Source organism: Homo sapiens, chromosome 3, assembly GCF_000001405.40.
Source record: "Homo sapiens chromosome 3, GRCh38.p14 Primary Assembly".
NCBI lineage: Eukaryota > Metazoa > Chordata > Mammalia > Primates > Hominidae > Homo > Homo sapiens.
Genome location: NC_000003.12, coordinates 25,456,980 through 25,478,901, shown reverse-complemented (window position 1 = coordinate 25,478,901; position 21,922 = coordinate 25,456,980). Strand labels below are relative to the sequence as shown.

The 21,922-nt window shown below is 40.0% G+C and overlaps 1 protein-coding gene across 10 annotated transcripts in view; it reads right to left on the bottom strand.

Annotated features, from left to right (window-relative positions):
• The window catches only part of RARB (retinoic acid receptor beta), a 768,612-nt gene that overhangs the window by 119,031 nt on the left and 627,659 nt on the right, over positions 1-21,922 (bottom strand). For 9 of the 10 annotated variants that reach the window (NR_110893.2, NR_110892.2, NM_001290216.3 and 6 more), the window contains one exon: positions 17,561-17,709. Coding sequence is in view for 5 of the 10 variants with exons in the window: in NM_001290216.3 (NP_001277145.1) it covers positions 17,561-17,709 (149 nt within the window). In the remaining 5 variants the exon portion in view is untranslated. Of the gene's footprint in view, positions 1-17,560; positions 17,710-20,508; positions 20,593-21,922 lie in introns of those variants that run through there. The other variant, NM_001290217.2, reaches the window with a different exon arrangement.

Below are 21,922 nucleotides of genomic sequence, written 5' to 3'. Positions count from 1 at the left end.
GACTGGAGCAGCTTACATTAGAGCCCACATTTGGTAAAAATAAAAAATTCACCCAGTGGCCTAGAATCAATATGAGAATAGTGATATGATCTGATGCAAGCCAGGAGAAAGCAGGGGGCCTGAACTTGAGACCACTCCCTGAGAGATCAGCTTGCGGTCTGTTTCCATAAAGCTGGCAGAGCCAGGTGTCACATGGGCCTTCTGATTTCTTCTTTTTCTCCCTGTGTCCATAGACGTCATGTCGATACTAAGGGTACTGCATTTTTCTCAGTCACCAGGAAAGCCAGAACGCACTCACAGCAGCTTAAAGGTGGGTGGTAGCCACATGTCCATCCGCCATTTAACTGAGTGAGTGTGTCCCCTGAAGTAGGGCAAGATGGGTGGTGGGAACCCACAGCTCCCTCAGTCTGTCTCAGTTCCCATCTGCTTTTCAGAATGAGCCACTAGTCTTCCGAGGGCACAGAGATGCATATTTTTCCTACAACAGGCTCTCAAGAACAAGCCACCTGCTTCATCTGGCATCTAACTGAAGAAAGAGCCTGTGATTCAAAACTAAACTCAGTCTGCAGCAGCTTGGATTTTCCAAAGATGGCCACAATAATAGCTCCTTCCCAGATGCTCTTTTAAAGTGACTATGGCACTATCCCAATGAAAGGAGGGTTTATGTCCCCTCCTCTTGTACCTGGATGGATCTGTGGCTGCTTTAACCAATAGAATTTGACAGGAGGAACACTATGGGACTTGCAAGGCTAGGGAATAAAAGGCCATGTGGCTCCTACCTTGTCCTCTGCAACCTTCGTTTTTGGACCTCTGAGCCCCCATGTAATAGGTCTGACAACTCTGAGACCACCATTTTGTAAGGAGGCCCAAGCCACATCAAGAAGCTGCTTGTATTGATGCTCCAGTTAGCAGTTCTAGCTGAGGACTTAGCAGGCAACACCAACTACGAGACCTATAACTGAAGACAACTCCAATACCTACCAGACACTGAGTTACTCCAGATGTTGACTGTCATCAGCTGGGCCCCAGATAGCAGGAAGCAAAGACAAATCATCCCCACTATGCTTACATAAATTCATGACCCACAATCTGTGAGCCAAATAAAAAAGTTTTATGCTATTAAGATTTGCGATGGTTTGTTATACAGCAATGGTAACTGGGACACGTCTTGGGTGATTTAAGGGTCATTTTAACCATATACAATATTTACCTCATATGCTTATTCTAGAAGTTAAACCCTAAGGGAGAAGGGATTCCACTCTCTGTCTTACTTACATAATAGAGCTGTTATAAAAAGGAGATGTTGCATATGTACATCCTCAATAAACTGCAGTATGCAAGTACTTGTAGTAATTATAGGATTTATCACTTCAAAATGAACAGAAGGCATCTGTTATTTCACTGTTGTATATGACAAACAGGGAAAGACCAATATTTGAAACCCAAAACCAGTTCAACTTGGGGCTAAGAAGTAACCTGAATAATTGATAAGTTCAACCATTGTGTAAAGGAAACAGTCACCCTTGGCAGACACCAAAAAGCCATCTCATCAGGTGGCATACTGAGCCCCAATGTTGTTCTTGAGTCACCTACCCCATGCCCAAGAGCAGCATGGCAATAGGCAGCTAGGAAGATACAGCAAGACAGATGGGGCAGGCACCTCTGCATACCTCTGAATCTCAGATGAGCATTTACTTTCCTAGAACTAAAAATGAAATGAATAAAGGATGCCTATTGACATTTTCATTCTTCCTTTCTGATCTGTTAGGACATACTTGGCCAACAGTATCCTAAACATCTCCTCCATTTGCCCCATAGCTATTGTCCTGTGATAACTTGGATCTAGTACAAATGTGCTCTAATTCTGTGTTTTCTCCCACCTCTTCTACATACTATTTATTATTGAGTCATTCAACAAACGTTTATTGAGTGCCTACATCATGCCAAGATTTGCTGTGGGTGCTGAGAATACAGAAGTGAACAAGACTTACAAAGTTCCTATTCTCATAGCACTTACACACTAGTGGGAGAGAAAAACAGTGACTAAGTAAACTATTCATGAAAGAGTTTCAAATAGTAATCAGTACCACAATGAAAGTTCCACTACAGGAAACTTGCAACCTCAGGATGGCTGCCAGCACTTCTACTCCAGGGAAGACTCAACAAGCCATTGTGGAAAAAATGGTGTTTACACAGAATGGGACAGTTGTAGGCCCACGACTGGGTCTCTCACATAAAGACAAGGATAGCAGGTGCCCTTTAACTGCTTGGGGAGGTCCCAGAAAGGCAGGGGAGACTGTAGAAAGATAAAATGAAAGATACGTTATGATCATATTCAGTTTGGAGGGAGGCAATTTGGGGTGCCACACAATTTTTTTTCCTAAATCTACCCTATAAACTATTCTTAAGAAACTTGTAAAAAGTGTCTGCAGAGAATGGAGTGTAAAAATAGAAGGCACAGCCAAATAAGAGTATCTCTACTCAAAAGGTTTTACATAAACCTCTTATTAAGGGCCCCAAAGAGTTTGATATTGCTGGGGAGGGGACCCTTTATCCAGTGCATATAAATGCAGCTGTGCAAGACAAGTACACTGAGAACCACATGGTTATGGGAAAACAAAAAATCATTGTAATTCTTAGAGCAGAAGAAAGGAGTAAACATTGGCAACTGCCCATTCTCCTTCTTCTAGACACATGGTATGTTTGCATTTTCATCTACTCCATTTGGATTAGGTGAGGCCAAGAGGACTGCTTTAGTCAATGAGTTGTGAGTGGAAATGATGTGTTTGAGATTCAGTAGAAAGATACCAGTGCAAGTGGGCAATTCTCCATTGTTCTTCCCCTTAATTCAAGGGCCAGTGATTTTCTAAATGGAGGTGACTCCATCAGTCTTGGTCCTTGAGTGAAGGTAACATGGAGTAGAACTATCTATCCAAAATGGACACATGGTGTGAGTGACAAATACACAACTACTATTTGAAGCCATTGTAATTTTGAGTTTGTTCCTGCAGCATAACCTGGCCTTACCATAACTAAAATGGGAAGAGTTAGGGCCTCAACTGTGAATGGAAGAAAGGATGTTACTGTGAGAGTAACAAATGCCAGATGCATTTCCTGCAGGAGTAATAGCACTGCAGAGCCAAGGAGACTGATCTTGAAGCCTACTTTAGAATGTTATTGGTCAGCGTGGATATGGCAGAGGACTTCCATGAGAGGAGAGGTGACTTGGGTTCCAGCAAGGATTCAGAAACAAACATTTACCCACATCCATTGACTGTGCTCCCCAGATGGCTTGAAGAAAAAGAAGTAAGTGTCACAAAATATCAAGCCCCAAAATTTTTCTGTTATTTTTTCTTTCCTATATAAATTCTGTTTTATATATTCTTATAGGAATGTCAGCTTTATTATTTAAAATAAGTTACTAAAATACTAATTACTTAATAGTAATATACTTCAACATAACTTATCTATAGTGATTTTTTGCAGGGGATCCCCCCCCCTTTGTTATTTGGATAATAGCTTATCCACCCCGATATAATACAGGTAAACATTTAGTTCCTTGGAGGTCACTCTTACCATCCCTCATCCAATGCTCATATTTCTGATAGTGTACGTAGTGGAGAACAGAAATATTCTTTCTGAGGCCCAGAGCTCATAAGAAATAAGACAGATAAAAATAATCAAATAACAAAGGAATACCTGATGTAGACTCAATAATTCAAAAATACTCTTTTAGGTATCTTAAACCACCAAAGTCTGGGATATCAATCCTGTGAACTCTCTAACAGCAAACATCATACACGTGAGCATAGCAAAAGAAGTGCCTGCATTATGAATTTGGGTTTAAAAACCAAATATATTCAGTGAGGACAGTAAGACCCATTTACGATTTGTAATGTAATTCATAATTTTGCACAGATCTTACCTGTCACAAATACTTAGAGAAAAAAATGATATCTGTATGTATACTGTACACAACATGAGACTCAAATTTTTGGTCAACAGGCAAGAATTAGCACCAAACATGCATTTAAGTAGGGCATACTTTCCACCTAATTCTTAAAGCAGAAAATGATAATTTAAGAGCAAAATACAACTGAATTAGAAATTATACATTTAATTTCATTTTAGTGAAATAACAAGAATTAGCAGAATCACTTAATTTCTGATACCCTCTTTCTACGTTTTGGTATTGGAATGAAAACTTTCATACTTTTTATCACAGCTCAACACAACAAACATACTAAAAGATATTCAAGCATTTCAGCATAACGTTTTTGATGAAATCATGAGATTGACAAACTGTAGAGCCAAACAGAATAAATGTCATCAAACAATATCTTAGCAAGTGTTGGGACTGTAAACTGGCTTAGGGTCCCAGCCAGCTGAAGGAACACCTAACAGAGCAGGATGACTCTGGAAACTGAAAAATAAAAAAAAATACCACCACCTCATGCTATTATTCTGAATTTATTTATGTTAATGAGGAATGACACATATAAATTAGAGCAGCAGCTTTCAGAAGTATTTCTTATTGAAAACATGACCATAATCGCAAAGTCCCCAGATGTGGCATAGCTCATGTACAATTTGAGTACAATACAGAGAAGTAAGATCCAAACAAAAATTCTCATTTCCCTGAGGAATAGTCAGATGATCCCTACTGGGTTTGACTAATAAGGATAATTTTCCTGATGTGGGGGACTTTCCAGGGCTGTATGAATGGTGGTGTTGTGTACTTAGAATTGCTGCTATTTTCAGATTCAAAAGCCCAGTGGAGAATTAACATTGCTTGGTCATTCTAGTTTCTCCAAATTTGTTTAACCATGAAAATCCTTTATAAAACTATGGTATTCTCCCCATCGCTGACCTACCTCAGAGTTTTCTACTGCTCATTATTTTAAGGCTCACAGAACCTGAGAAGTACATTTTACACGCTCCAGTTCAGAGTTGCAGCCAAGATAAAGGTTTTTTTTTTTTCCTGCCAGACATAGAAAATACCTCCATAGAAGCAGAACCGAGAGGGTCACCGAAGATCTTGCTTTTTTCTTATTGAAATATTTACTTTGCAAATCCACCAATCTCTGTTATAAATGAAACATTACATGAAGCCCTGAGAGGGAGGAGAAGCCCATGTGAAAACACAAGGGCTGCCTCAGAAACACTTGAGAACAAGTTAAGAAGTGAAATTCACTATATATATGCCTTCTCATACATCTTGACACCAGTGAAAAGGAAGCAGACACCCTGGCAGACGGGCCACCTTGACTGTACTGACAAGTTTGGTGACAAGCTTTATAAAAACAGTTCTACCTTGAACATTTATAAAGCCTGCATTTTGCTGCTTTTGAAATAAAACAAAACCAACCCCAACAAAAATGCCCCAGGAATAGTGCTAGCCACAGAACTGCTGCCAGAAATCCAGGCAGGACGCTGCTAGCAAAGGAATGTCATCTTTTCAATATGGAACAAGAAACAAGGCTCTAATGGGGCCGGCCTGCCAGAACCCCAGCTTTTCCCCTTCACCCCAGACAATGCTAGCTTTGTACAGGCAGAGATGCACACAGAGTTTTATTTCCCTCTATTTTTTTTTTTTCAGGGATGAGTTCTAGGGTCCATAGAACAAAATTTTCCCTTCTGGTGTTGCTTATCCATATGACACATTTAATCTTCCTTTCTGAAGTGGAAAAATACTCAATAACAACAACAACAACAAAAAGACATAGTTCCTAAAAGGCACAAGAGAAATTCTAATCCCAAAGAAACTATTATGGTAGGAGATAGTGACAAGAAGACAATGAGAGGGATGCGTGGTTTTCAGGACATAAGCATTGCGTTGTGCTGGTATGACTGTTGTGCTTAAGGACACATATTTGATACAACAAGAGAACAGAAAACAACTGTTTCATCTGGTGTTCCATGGAGTGATCTGTTTCCAGAGCTATGGCAAGAACTGGCTTTGTAGGTCCTAATGAGAGACATATGTCAGTCTCCAGCAGTGTGCTTTTCAAAGGGATTTTCTGGGGTAATTTTGTCTACGTGTAATCTTTGCCTTGTGTGATGACACTGGAATCTAACCCCTGATAAAGGTCTACCTCTATTGGGTAAGGCTTTCCCAGTTTCTCAAAATGTCAAAGCTGAATGAACTAGGAATATGGGGATGTTTAGAATCAGAGGCCTTGAAAAGATAGTTTGATAAATTTCAGGGAACCTTACAGAAATGTATTTAAGGAGGTTCTCACAGTAACCATTTCAGTAACAGAATCACATTATAAATCAAAACCACAGATGGTAGAATCTGCTCTCATAAATTCTTAGTTTCCTCATCTGTGAAATGGAGGGGGAAACAATCGATTCCACCTACTTCTCTAAATATGATGAGGATCAAATAAAAAAAACCTATGGTAGAAACTTAGCTCTTCACCAAATCCATAATTTCTTTCCCTAAAAGTAGGTCTGTACCTGAGCACATGGCTAGACTACATCTCTGAGTCGACTTTGCAGTTGGTTTTGGTCACGTGTCCCATTCTAGCCAATGAGGTATGCCATTCTTGGCCGGGGCTTTTAAGAAGCAGGTGTACTGCCTCCCCCACGCTCTCTTTTCATTCCAGTAGCTAGAATAAGATGATGCTAAGAACCTAAGAGGATGACAAGCTGCAGCACTGGCAGGAGTCCTAATCACTGTGTGGAGAAGAGAAGGCTGCCAGTCAAGAGCTGATGTGAGAAAAAAGTCCTGTAGCAAACATTGTACCTTGTGGGGGTTTACTTTTACTTCAGCTAAGCCTGGCTTAATTTAATTTCATACATGAAAATGCATTAGAAACACTAAGGCTATAGGAATGTAAGATATAAGACAGTTTTATTATTTCCATGGTTTTACATAGGTACGCGGGTGGGGAGAGAGGCAACTGTAGAGAGTGGGAAGACCAAGGGCTCTGAGCCCTGCCCTGACAATGAGAAGGTAGAGGGGGGCTGATGAAGAAGGAAAGCCTTTCCAGACAATTTCATTTCATATCACCTCTTTACAGGCATCCACCCAGGAGAAGGAAATATGGAAAGCTCTCTTAACTTTTCTAGTAAAAGGTGGAGAAACAAAGAGGATAATTGCAATAATAGCAGACCTTTAGTTTGTTATAACAAAAACAGCAAATGAAAGTGTTCTAGATATTTTCAAACAACAAGCAAAGTAAGCATCTACACAAGCATTCCTGAACGTTTAACCATTAAAAAATTTATAAGCCTCTTAAAACCACCAAATTAAATAAACTATTTTTACCACGCCAACTCAAGGAAAAAAAAAAAACACGCAGAGTTGCGGGCTAATTCAGAATTCACTCCCCCCGCCCCCAACTTCCTGTTTATCCATACACCAGAAGGAAAAAAAAAAAAAGACAGATTTTTCTGCTTTTTCAATCCAAAATCAGTTCTCAATTTGTTAGAAGAAGAAAAGTGTTTTCTCCTTCCGTAGGAATTATTACTAGGAAAAGGTAGATTGTCATTTCAGCTGTCTTGAGGTTCCTCGATATGGAGGTAGATTCTCTAAGCTGAGATTTTTCTTAAAGCACTAACAGCCCTCAGTACTCTTCCACGTCAGTATATCATTCCAGGCACTAGTTCTTAAGAGTTTGCCTAAAGATAGTATCAGAGAGGACATACGTTTTGCAATGAAGGTTAACTGAGGTAGAAGGCAGAAATTACTAAGAAATGAGCTAGACTTTGGTCACCAAAGACCTTGTCCTGTTTATATATAATTCCATGAATGTTTACATGAATGTATCATCCCAAGCCCTATGTAATTAGATGCAATTCATTATATAATTAGATAAAATGTATGAAAGTAATATACTATTTGCATTATTATACAATTATATCTTATTATGCGTTATTTATAACTACACTAATTACTGTATAATTAGATATAACTTATGATAAAAGCATATATACATTAACGTCCTACTATGTGCCGCCTCCCTAGCACTATGCAAAGCCCTAGTAATAAGGCTGTGACAAGAGAGACCTGCCCAGCCCTCCTGGAGTTTATAGCTGACATTAAACTAATGACTTGGTAATAATGACTTGGTAATAATGACTTAATTTCAATTGTGTTAAGTGCTACAAAGGCGAACAACAGCAAATGTAAAAGAGGGGGACCTAACCTGGGGGTTCCAAAGGAAGGCTTCTCTGAGGAAATGGTATTTATTGAGTCCTTTTGAGTGTCTTTAATATCCTATGGATCCCTAGTTGTTTATATAGGGTTATGCAAAATAAATGTTAACAGAATGGATAGATTTCCATTTTTCCATGTAACTCTATATAGGCAATTTTATTCTGAGTCCTCTTGCCTTCCAGCCCCATCTTCAACTTTTGCCTGGAACACTCCTCTCCCCTTCCTCATCTGGAAAATGCTTACACATCTATAAAATCACATCTTCTATAAAAGCCTTCCATGAATGTGTCAGAGGGATCCGAGACTCCTTCTCTGTGCCCATCAAACCCTTAGCTACAATTGTCACAGCACATGCCACACTGTTTCCTTGCTCATTCATTCATCCATCCAATGAATATTTACCATTTACCTGTAATCGAGGAGCTTAGCTTTAAAATTGCATTTTAAAACTTTTTTTTTCTTTTCTTGCTCTCAGCATTAAAACGTACTTAAAAACTTTTTGTTTTCCTCCCTTCCTACCAGACACTCTCTTGAACTACTAGCTTATCTAATTAGGCACTTACTTAGAAGTTCCAGGAGCTAATTTTTAAACAAACCAGGTATGGAGACCCAGCTGTGAAATTGCAGAGATTACCTCAAAAGGGTTAGTCTACAACCCGGGCATTGCTGAAATGATGGCACGCTGTGCTTCAGGTGGACCGTGACTCAACACGGCCTCCGGAACTGAACACGCAGACCTTGCACCCAGCACCACTCCCACATGCTCCCACCCCTCCTCCACGTTCCCCTTTTTAAGCCCCTCTCCACAGCCTAAAGTTTGGAATGGTCTTTCAAAGACTTGAGCCTGGTCATTCCCCAAAAGCCAGAATTTAAATCCTTTTACCACACCTAGCTTCTCATGTTTTCTGCCTCCAAGCAGCCAGCAGCTGGGCTTGAGCCAGTTACATCCCTATTATTGGACAGGCCTGGTTCTCTGTATTTTTTAGGCAATGGGATTCAGCATTGGAAAAAATATACACAAAACTTTCATTTCTATATCCTGGAGCTGTCTCATGGAAGGCACTTAATAAATGTCTGATGAATGAATGAGGAAACATGTAAATCCTCCATGGTTGGCAGATTATAGCAACAGGGAACAGAGGGACGCTTTTTGGGTCTATGAGGGAAACTACTCTGTGTGATCCAATATAGTAATGAAGTTTATGGCAGGTTTCATAATTCATTCAGCTATCACAGAGTGGTACACAGAGTGTCCTGTTTTTGTTATTGTTTTGGATATGTTATTTTGTTCTTTGGGATCAATACTGCAGCAAACCCCTAAAACAGAAGCAACTATCAGAGTGAGGAAAGCTAAAAATATTCTCCAAAGACAGCATCATGTTCATGTTTATCCACTCCAATTAAAAACAACAATGTGGTTTTAAATGGCCTTGGTCAAATAAAATCATTAAGCTCATTTAAAGTATTTAATAGAAGTTCTAAAATTAAGTGCAGACATCCATCTTCCTGATTGCAAAACTTTTTGTGACTGAACATTCTGCTTGCTGTCTGCCAGGAAAACCCAGCCCAGCAGCCGAACGCTGTCATGGAGATGAGGGCCTCCCTCTCTTCAGAGGCTAGCAAAACAAAGGCAGATGAGAAAAATGGACAAAATTAGCCCTGAGGGACTGAGGGGGCTAGTGGAGTTTAAACTCTTAAAAGACTGCTTTAAATAGAAGGCTACCAATGTGACCTTCAGCAAGCATTTCCTCTGCGCCCTTGTGGAGAAGACACGCCATCACGGCTGTGCCAGGCCTCGCCCTGGGGCCTTCTGCAGGACAGGCTGGATTGTGGCCCCCAAAGGTTGGCTTAGGGATAGGAAGTTTCCACCCATCAAAGGCAAAATGTAGAGAGCAAGGACAAAGCTGCATCTGGGAACATGCCCATGTGTGGGTTCTGCCTGCTAACTGTCCCTTCTTGGGAAAGACTGACTGCCTTGTAAGCGCTTCCTTTTTTAATTTTTTGTCGCAGAGATGTCATTTCTTTTATGAAATGATCAAGACAATATGTTTTTTAAAAATATGCCCCTATCTGTTAGTTTTAAATTTGGTGGCCTATGAAACCCCCACTCTAGACCATAACACACCACTGCTTCAGACCTTCTGTCTAAGTGTGGCTGAAGCAGTGGGGTGTTTTTTTTAACAGGAAAAGGATTTGAATCCCAGCTCTAGCAAAGGCTAGCTGTGTGTCCTTGGCCACGTTCCTTAACTACTCGGACCCTCTGTTACCTCATCTATAAAATGTGGGTCACGGAGCCTACCTTGCAGAGCTGTTGTGAGAAATAAAAGCGCTATGGGTTAAAAAAAAAAAAAAAAAAAAAAAAGCCCAAATGCCTAGTGTACAGAAGGCACCCAACAAGGGTAGTTTTCTTCTTCCCTCTACTCCACACTTGGACGTACAAACACTGGAGACCTCTTACTCCACGTAAGCCAGCCCTAACAAGAAATCAGTGCCATTATTAGGTTCACTGCTTTTATGTCTGTATTTGACATGGTACTGGGTTCAAACTTGTGGATTTGCTTTCATTTTACAGATAGGCTAAGGCCCAGAGAAGTCAATGGACATAGCCAGAAGAAGTAGAAATGCTCCGAGAATCCAAGTGTTTGGTTTCTGACCTAAAATGCTTTCTCTCTATGACTCACACCGCTGGTTCCTCCTCAGCCATGAGATCCCACCTGACCCCCATCACATCAGGCCCCCTTGACCCCTGTGAAATAGAATACCCCTAAATTATTCTTTATTAGACCATTCTGTTTATTGTTTTCCAAATTTAAATTATCATCTGTCCCTTGTGTGAGACACTAAATTCCATGAGGAACTTTGTCATGTTCACTGTTGTATCTCTAGCACCCGGCATAGGGCCTGAAACTTAGTAGGTGTTCAACAAACATATGCTTAAGGATGAATGATTGGTGAATAAGGTTGTCAGAAGAGACTTGCCCATCAAACTAGGGAATAATAGAAGACGGTATGTAACCAAATGCAAGTTCTGGTAGGCTCTCCCTTTTGCAAGGTGACTTTGTCACTTCTCCCCTTAGGAGGTGAAGTTTATTTCTTCATCCATAGAATCCAAGCTTAGTCACGCAATTTGTTTGGCCAAGGGGATATTAGCAAATGTGATACAAGCAGAGGGTGAGAAGTGTTTGTTTGAGCTGGTTCACTGGATAAGTGGCGTTGGCTTGCTATGATTGTATGGTGATTGTCTTCTCTTACTGATGGGAACCCATCCACCACGTGAAGAAGCCTAGGCTAGGCTAATGGTGAGCAACAACAGGGGGAGAGGATCTGGTCATCCTGCCAAGGCCCCAGACATGTGAGTGAGACCGTCCTAGACCACCTGGCCCAAGCCAAGTCAGCCAAGACAAGAAGACCTATCCAGAATTATAATGAATAATAAATGTCTATTGTTTTAAGACATTAAGCATTTGAGTTATTTGTTAAGCAGAAGAAGCTAACTGATACAACAGCATAGACTATGTTCCAGAAACCTCTCCAAGGTGTGACGTCAGGTATTTCTGGACGTAGCTCAATTACCTGGATACTTCTAATTTCTCTGATTTTGGATGATGGGAAAGTGGGATTTGAGTGTGATTGGAAGGGTGGAGGAATGACCAGACATGGCTTAAAGCTTCTAAGCCACAGAGCCCTGGGCAGGTGGACATGAACTTCTTTTAGCAGTGTGGAAGTGGAGCAGCAGACCCAGGCCCATAGCCCAGCAAAACCAGCGGGCTTGCCACTTTTGGCATGAGAGCTTTGGGGCACCAGCTTCTGAGTTTTAGAAGTTGTAAGAAGAATAACATCATCAAGGGCCAAATCTGGTCCACTGCTTTTGTAAACAAAGTTTTATTGAAACATAGCCATTCCCATTTTTGTACATATTATCTACAGCACCTTTCATGCTACAGTGACAGAGTTGAATAATGGCAGCAAAGACCACATAGCCCTCAAAGCCTAAAATATTTACTATGTGGCTCTTTGCAGAAGCAATTTGGCAACCTCTGTACTAGGGTAATCCAGGGAGGCTCCATGGAGTAGTAGGGTCTTAATGTGAGCCTTGAAGGAAAGAGGCAGTGTTATTTTGATAGAAAAGAATGGAGAACTGCAGAAAGAACACTACAAGAACAGTACTAAGATTATAATTGATGTTACATCACTGTGTGCAAAAGTCATTATAATAACTTAATGATAAAACAAACGATAGGCTGGGAGCGGTGGCTCACGCCTGTAATCCCAGCATTTTGGGAGGCCTAGGTGGGTGAATCACCTGAGGTTGGAAGTTTGAGACCAGCCTGACCAACATGGAGTAACCCCGTCTCTACTAAAAATACAAAATTAGCTGGGTGTGGTGGCACATGCTTGTAAAGCCTGTAATCCCAGCTACTCGGGAGGCTGAGGCAGGAGAATTGCTTGAACCCGGGAGGCAGAGGTTGCAGTGAGCCTAGATCGCGCCACTGCACTCCAGCCTGGGCAACAAGAGTGAAACTCCGTCTCAACAAAAACAAAACAAAACAAAACAATAACTAAGCATGTATGTGCCACTTAGTACTTATCACTTACTATGTGCTAGGTACTATTCTATATGCTTTATACATAGTAAAAACATTTTATCCTCACAACAATACCATGAGGTAGGTAATATCACCCCCATTTTTCCAGATGAGAAAAGAGAGAGTTGCACCAAGCTTATAAGTAGTCTAGCTAGAATTCACATCCCAGCATTCTCACTCTAGACTTCACATTCCTCAAAAGCTACAAAAGTTGAAATGTAAAATATGATTAAGGCCAAAATTTTGCATTAAATTTTAGCTATGAGCAATAAGACTGTTTTCCAAAGACATTATTTTATTTTGTCCTATTATTTTTTTAATATTGCTTTATTATTTTATACTGTTAAACATTCTTGGCTAACCACACTGCACATTCCTTTTGTGTACTCTTTGTCCCCTACACAAAAACTGCCATCGCTCACCTGGAAACCCCCTAAACAGGGCATCCCTACAGTGTGTCTAGTGGTTATACTGCCATGGTAATGCTGTGTCAATACAGCAGCCGCTGACCATTCATTCCCAGAGATGGACCACACCCATTTGTTAAATTCTGACCACCATCGTATGGCTGCAGCAGAGGCTGAGACTGTCACCCAGTCCCTAGGAGGATGGAAAGTTCTCTTCCCCAAATAATAGTCAATTAGGTCATCCTGGTTATGACAGGCAGAAGCCACCGTAGGCATTACTTCTTGAAGATATACCAGGCTCTGTTTGGGAGTCCTACTTTAGAGCAGAGGTTCTCAGCTTACAGTAGTAAACTTTGATTTCCAGCCAATGGTTGGGCCAGTTTCTACCGGTCAACAAGGGGCCTATGGTGCATCTGCTGGTATCCTAAAATGATACCACACACAGGGCCCATAGTAAATATCAAATTAAATACAGGCAGAATTCAAGAAGAAAAGTTGCTTCTGGATTCATTACCTTATTATATCACAAGGGAGATAATAGATACTTTCCGAAAGGATTTACTTTTTACAGACTACTAGACAATAATCTTTTCTACGGGGTATTCTGGCAATCTGATTCGAAAGCCTTAAAAATATACAAAGCCAGTGATCTAAAAATTCCACTTATACTGATTTATCCTAAGGAAAATTTTATCCTAAGGAAATTTTCAGAGATATACTTAAAGGCCATAATTTAAAGTGTTATTTATAATCGAAAAAAACTGTAAGCACCTTAATCAGTTAAATAAATTATGACATAACCGTAAACTACTATATTAATTGTATAACCATAAAAGCTATGCAGTTGCTTAAATTTGGGTCATAAAATATTATTAAAGATTAAGTTAAAACCAGTATACAACACAAAATTCCATTTTTCTGAAACAATAACAATATGCATATACTTACAGAAAAGCTGAGTTTTACAGGGGTTCCCTCCCAGGGTAGAATAATGGTTGTTTTAATTTTCTATTTTTATACAATAAATTCTATACTGTATTGATAATTTTTTTAAATGACAATAAAATTATATTTAATTTTTTTAAAGTTATATTTCTTTTTCTTTGGCTGTTGTATTTTACCATTACCTCCTCATGTTTCTCAGTTCTGTGAATTTTGTCACTGTATTTTCCCAGCAAGCTTAAATGTAGACCAAGTCTTTCCCAATGACCAGGGAGAAGAGCAATCCACCCACAATATAAAAATATTATCAAATTCAACTGGCTGCCGAACTCACCTGACCTTATTGGGTTTATAGCTCTGTTAAAAAGATACACCATAATATGACTCTGTATCACTTAACTGAGCTTATCAAAGTTGTTTGTGCCGGTATGGGTTTTGTTTTTATTGGGGTTTTTCCTAAAAAGGAGTCAGAATCCCAAACTAAGCTCAGAGAACTCACTGACTATGAGCTGATTAAAGCAGTTTGTGCTATACAGATCATGAAACAGCTTCATATGCAGCTCCTAGTATGTGCCACAGAGACACGTTGGATAATGATGAGAGCAGGTACGCTGAGTTACAGCATACCTCACTCAGATTTCTGGACATGAGATGACTTAACATTTTTCAGAAATAAAGAAGTATCTTTTCATTTACTTTTCAAATAAACATTAGAAAATCATTTATTTATATATTGCACAACAAGTGGACAAAATGAACTAGCTATTCCACTGAAACCTTTCCAAATCTCAGGATAAATTTAAGTAGGTTCAGCTAGGGGTTACTAATAATAAAGCAATAATTGAATGAACAAATGTCTTCCTTTTTAGTCAGCTGCCAACTGGTTGCCCATATAACTTTCCTGACTACCATGTCAGAATCTACTGGAGAAAAGAGAATTGCCATAAAATAGCACAATTCCAGAGGCAGAGAGATGTTCCTAAGCCTTTAATGAATTTCCCAAAACTGGCCTTATTATATTCATAAACCATAATACATATGTTTATTTAAATGGTTTGAAAAGAAGGGAAAAACTCACAAAATTACTTTGAGGGGCTGAGTGACATTTACGCATTTGTACAATCTTTTTTTTTTTTTTGAGATGGAGTCTCACTCTGTCGTCAGGCTGGAGTCCAGTGGCGCGATCTCGGCTTACTGCAACCTCTGCCTCCCGGGTTCAAGCAATTCTCCTGCCTCAGCCTCCCAAGTAGCTGGGACTACAGGCAAGCGCCACCACACCCAGCTAATTTTTGTACTTTTAGTAGAGATGGGGTTTCACCATTTTGGCCAGAATGGTCTCGATCTCTTGACTTCGTGATCTGCCTGCCTTGACCTCCCAAAGTGCTGGGATTACAGGTGTGAGCCACTGCACCTGGCCAAATTTGTTCAATCTTTAAGCACCCACTATATGCCAGACTATGTATGACATGCTGGGCAGTGGAGCTAGGGTCCCCAACCACTTTGTGTTCATAGGCAATCAGACATGCAGTACAGTGGTCTAATTACAAAAATGACACCCATTCCCCCGGCCCCTCCATATCTATATCACTTATTACTTTGAAGCTCTGCCCATTAAGAAATTGAGTGGGGCTGGGCGTGGTGGCTCACACCTGTATTCCCAGCACTTTGGGAGGCCAAGGTGGGAGGATCACTTGAGCCCAGGAATTCGAGGTCAGCCTGGGCAACATACGTGAGACCCCCATCTCTACAAAAAAGCTTTTTCAAGTTGACAGATTCGTTTTATTTTATTTAAAAGAAGAACAAAAGTTGAGTTGATGTTCCTACCTACTGAGTCTAGGCTGACCTTATAACTTGCTTTGGCCAATAGTGTGGCAGAAGTAGTAATGAGATGCTTCTTAGCCTAAGCCTCTGGAGACCTTATGTGCTTTTGTTCTGTCTTCTGGAACCCTGCCTCTGCGAACAAGCCAGGGCCAGCCTGATGGGAATGAGGGATCACATGGAGGAGAGCTGAGTCTCCCCAGCCCACAGTCAGCACCCCTAGAAGCAGAGCCAACTAGCTAACCTACAACTGCCCAGAGATACATGGTGGAGCCTAGCCAAGTCCAGGTGAACCATGCAGATGAGTTTGGCTGAAACTGCTGACCCACAGAATTGCAGGCTAAATAAAGAATTGTTGTCTTAAGCCATTTAGTTTTAGGATGGTTTGTTATACAACAGTGCCTGACCAATATATACAGTTAAGTGCTAACTCTGCTAAGCCAAATATAAAATGCCATGGAGTACCTGTAACATTATTCCAACATGTTAACAATTACAAATGAATCATGCAATTTAGATGTATAAACAACAGATGTAAACAACCATCCAGAGAGGACTTAAAGAAGTTATATATCTAGGGAAGGGCTAGTTCAAAACAGCCATAGTTCCTTTGAGAAATTTTTTATGGATGAGTTAGTTGTATTTGCCTTTGAAGTCATGTTTCTTTTCTTTCCTGAAAAAAAAGAAGAAGCTCTTTCACTCAATTAAGACTGTTGGACTTGAAAACAATTGTCTTGCTTGATTCAAAGCAGCCATATACTACTCTCTGACACATGTTCAGCCTCCAGTATTCCGTAGGCAGGAATTTTAAATCCAGCTCCCCTGAATTTATGACACACATACAGTAGCAAGTCCCTACAGGCTGAAAATCAAACTGTAATTCAAAGGCCACAGAGCTGAGGAAAACAGCCAGCAGACAAATCCCAGTTTCAACCTTGAATTCCCTGCAAGTTGATTCAGTGGACTGTCAGTCATATTCAAAAATAAGATAAAACTACAGACACCAGACGGCATGTTCTAAAGAGAAAAAGAACGATGCTTTTCAAGATTCTTCCAACCAGTTCTTTGTTTTTTGTTTGTTTGGTTTTTGAGACAAAGTCTCGCTGTTGTCCAGGTTGGAGTGCAGTGGTGTGATCTTGGCTGGCTGCAACCGCTGCTTCCCAGTTTCAAGTGATTCTCGTGTCTCAGCCTCCTGAGTAGCTGGGACTAGATGTACCAGCCACTCACGCCTGGCTAATTTTTGTATTTTTAGTAGAGATGAGGTTTTGCCATGTTGGTCAGGCGGGCCTCAAACTCCTAACCTCAAGTGATTGCGCACCTTGGCCTCCCAAAGTGCTGGGATTACAGGCGTGAGCCATCACACCTGGCCTAGCCAGTTCTTATTATCTAAAAGGAATTATTATGTGGGGGTAATTTAAGGGCCTTAGAACCTTTGACCCTCATCAGTCATTTGCAGAAGTTTCTGAATTTTAAACCAAAGATATATAAGGAAGTAATAAAAACCACTGAATATAACTGAATTCACCACACTTATGGGAGGTGATGTTACACATCCAGCCCATTTTTGGAACTGGGTAGGTCACCTCCATAAAGTACATGGAGAATGAGAGTTCATCAGGCACAGAAGTGTGAATACTCACCTTACATCCCTCACAGGCGCTGACCCCATAGTGGTACCCTGATGATTTGTCCTGGCAGACGAAGCAGGGTTTGTACACTCGAGGGGGAGGAAGTGGAGATGGGGGGCTTGGGACGAGTTCCTCAGAGCTGGTGCTCTGTGTTTCAATTGCTATAATAGAGATGGGGTAGAGGGAGAAAAAAGAGAAAATGTATTTTAGTTCATTACTTTTTTCAACAGTGAATTCATATGCTTCTGCCCCAAATTCAGCAATAACACTAGCAAGAATGGGCTCATAAAAACAGCTGTCATTGTAGGCCCAGCAGTGGTGACACTGACATTGATGTGGTACTCTACGGTTTACAAAGCAGTCTCATACATCTCTCACTTGCAGTCCACAGCTCACACAGAACTGTGAGGGCCATGGTTTTTATCACAATTTTAGCCACAACAGAAACAGAAACTCAAAGGAAGGAAGTGACTTGTCTAACTAAGACCAGCAGAGCAGTGGTAGAGCCAAGACACAAATTCAGATAGTCATACTACAAACCCCAGTAGCTTCTGATTCATGTAGAATCTCAAACGACTTGACCTTGTTGCTCACTTAACCAAAAGTAAATTTTCTTTGTAGCTCACACCTGTAATCCTAGCACTTTGGGAGGCTGAGGCAGGGGGATCACCTGAGGTCAGGAGTTTGAGACCAGCCTGGCCAGCATGGTGAAACCCCATCTCTACTAAAAATACAAAAATTAGCAAGGTGTGGTGGTGTGCGCCTGTAATCCCAGCTACTCAGGAGGCTGAGGCAGGAGAATCGCTTGAACCCAGGAGGCAGAGGTTGCAGTGAGCTGAAATCGTACGACTGAACTCCAGCCTGGGCAACAGAGCAAGACTCCGTCTCAAAAATAAATAAATAAATAAATAAATAAATAAATAAAAATTTTAAAATTTTCCTTTGGACAAATGAAGAAAATGCCCAAATTATTCATTCAACAAGTGTACTGGGAGGGTCTTTAGCATGATGCAGCCATAACTGATCTTCATTAATAACAATATGGGTAAGATCCTTGCTACTCAAAGAAGGCTCCTTGGGCCAACATGCATCGGCATCACTTAAGATCTTATTAGAAAAATAGTATCAGGTCCCAGCTCAGGCCTGTGGAATCTGAATCTGCATTTTGATGAAATCCCCAGATGACTAAATGTACAATTAACATTTGAGAAGCAGTAGGTTAAAACTAATGATGACACAGAGTGGTGCGATTCACTTTTAAGTCATGTTACTCTTTATTCTAGATTAAAAAAATAATAATCCTCCATCCTGTTATCTAACCACCCAAATTCCATGGGAAATGGGAGTTCACAAAATATAAGAACGGGGTGTTCTCCTACCCCTAATTCTCCAGGATTGTACTCAGAATCAAAGCAAGAACTGGCTGTACTTCTATCACAGGTAAATATGCTCATAAAATAAGATGGAAATCGGGAAGGAGAATTAAAAGTGGTTAAATAATGTTCCAGAATCTTCTAGTCTCCAAATTGCTTTTTAATACACAGTGTATTTCCCAGAATATAAAGTTTCCAGTTGCCCTACTGCTTATAATCTCCCAGAGTAGATATTCTCCTGACTGGATTATCCTGCAGGCAAGCTTTTAGCAAGTCAGGTCAACTCTACCCACTAAACTTATTGTTAATCCATCCCCACATCACTATCCTGCTACCACACCATGCTAATAATCCACCATCGCCTCTCACAACTGCTGCAATAGCTTCTTCATTGGTCACTTCATGCCCCTTCTTCCTACCTAGTGTCTATTCTTCAAACAAGCAGTCAAGATAGTTGTTCAAATGTTAAAATCCATCTGTTTCACTCGCCTATCTAAAGCCCTCCAATAGTCACCAATTAGATCAAAGTCAAACTCCTTAGTATGTTCTACAAGACTTTTCATCACACGGCATTTTAGCAGCATCATTTCCTTCAGTGAGTCCCCTAATTTATTGAGTTCTATATAATTGGCATCTATTCTGTCTTCTGAATAGGCCAAGCTCTCATACCAACTGAGGCTATTGTGATAACTATTTGTCCTTTCTAGATATTCTCAGACCTTCAAATATCTGGTTGTTTTTCGTTTCTTAGATCACAAAGCAAATGCTACCTTCCCAGAGATGATTTCTCTCATTAAAATGCCCCTCTCCATTCCTGGTCACTCTGTCTCACTATTTTATTTCCATAAAACCCTAACCAGTGTTCAAATTTTAGATGTTTGTATATAATTTTATATTCTACATCTGCCATCCCCTATACTCTAAATATTGAGTTTCATAAGGGAAAGAAACTCACCTGCATTGTATACATCTGTGTTCCAGGACTAGTAGAGGTCCTGGCACATGGCAGATAATCAATAAATATTTGTTGAATTAGCACATGAACTTTTTCCTTTTCCTTTTTCTTCCTCATTTTGAGCACTAAGAGTCCCTCTAAGTTGTTAAATGATAAAATTAGAAACCAAATAGCTCTTATACTCCTTTGCTTCCTTAAAAAAGTAATTAATTAGCCCTTTGGAACAGAATCAACTATAATTATAGTATTTTCATAATTCAGAAGAATCTTGGAATGAATTCATTTGAGTAGTACAGGTCCTAGTAGATAAATCTATTATAGTCTTTACTGGTTAGAACCAAGGTATCTGGGATGAAGATATCAATCTTGAGTACATTATTTCTGGCAGATAGGAAGCCCTTGCTTTGAATAAGTTGGCACAGTGGCAGCAACTGTTTTATAGAAGGGCTGGTATCTGAGATGTCACTAAAGCTTATCAGCTATCAAGCAGTAGATGCAAAAGCATTCTTCACACGGAACTAATCAGCTTCACTGAAAGCGAATTAACAAGAAAACACTGCTTGTTAAAATTAGAAAACAATGTATCACTGTCTATTAAAAATCTAAGGAAAAATACACACAGAATCACTCACCCACAATCTTTTCACTCAGAGAAATTCACTGTGTACGACCTTCCAGAATTTTTTTCTATGCACATAAATGTTTTGGGTTTGTCTACTAAGGTGGAATTATACTGACACTGCTGAGGACTTTGTTTAACCTATGATGTCATCAATTTATTTCCTTGTCGATAAATATTTTTCACAGAAAACATTCCATTGTGATGAACAACTTTGTAGCTAATCTCACCACATCTTTATTTCCTTCAAATACATTACTGAAGTGTAATTATCAGTTCAAAGGTTGTTATTTTAAAAATATTTTGTTTTTAATGCATGTTGATAAACTGACTTCTAGAAAGGTTGTGTAGATTTACACTCCCTGATATCAACGTAAGTGACCCCTTCCCCAGATGCCTCTCAAACCTTTTGGAGTGGTTTGATTTGTGTGCTTCTACTTCCATCCATGTGCTTCAACAACTGACAGAGTCATGTCATCACCACTATGATCAATCTCGCATTGAGTTCTTCACAGAAGGAAGGTGGGGAGCGGTGTGTTTTAAGGTCCTACTCGTTCGTGTAGAACAGCTAATCTGGCCTGTCTAGGAAAGTTGTAAATAGAATTCTGGTAGGGCTGGAATCAGCTGTCAGAGCTATGCCCTGAATTTCAAAAGTGGGTAGTAATTTCCATAAATATGCCACTTCAAACACATGCACTGAAGGGAGTCCAGCATTTCACCTTCCCAAAGAAAGGAAACAAAATTGTGCATAATTTAATACCCAAGAAACTTGGGGCAAAGCACACAAAAAACGGGAAGTCTACTGGACATTAAAGATCCCAAAGCATTTTACAAAGATTGGATCTTTTCCTATGGATAAGAGTCATTTATAACAAATGAATGAATCCAGAAGGCTTTTCCTGAACAGTTGCCATGAACGAAAATGTTCTATTGTAAGTAATCAATAGTGAGAGCCCTGGCCTTTTATTTAGGTGGTGGTGATTTCACCAATAATTCTAGGAACTTTCTCATGTGAGTACAATAGATTCTCAGACTGTTCATGTGTTCAATCATTTGTTTGGCTGAGTGACATAACATGCCAGGCATTGTGTTATACGCTATGGGCAATGATAGTACATAATCCCTTATCCTTGACAAATTTGGCCTAATAGAGAATAAACCAACAATGATAATACAGTGGGTTCCAAACTTGGCTGCACACTAGAACCAGCTGGGGAGCTTTTTAACGTCCTAATGACCAAGTTGTATCCCAGATCTATTATGCCAGAATGTCTGAGAATGGAGCTAGGAATTGCCATTTTAAAAAAAATTCCCTTTTGGCTGACTGTAAGATTTAAAACAGAAAAACAAAACAAAAAATAAAAATAATAAAAAGTATTCCCAGGCGAATCCAAACTGAAGTAGTTTGGGAACCACTAATATAATGT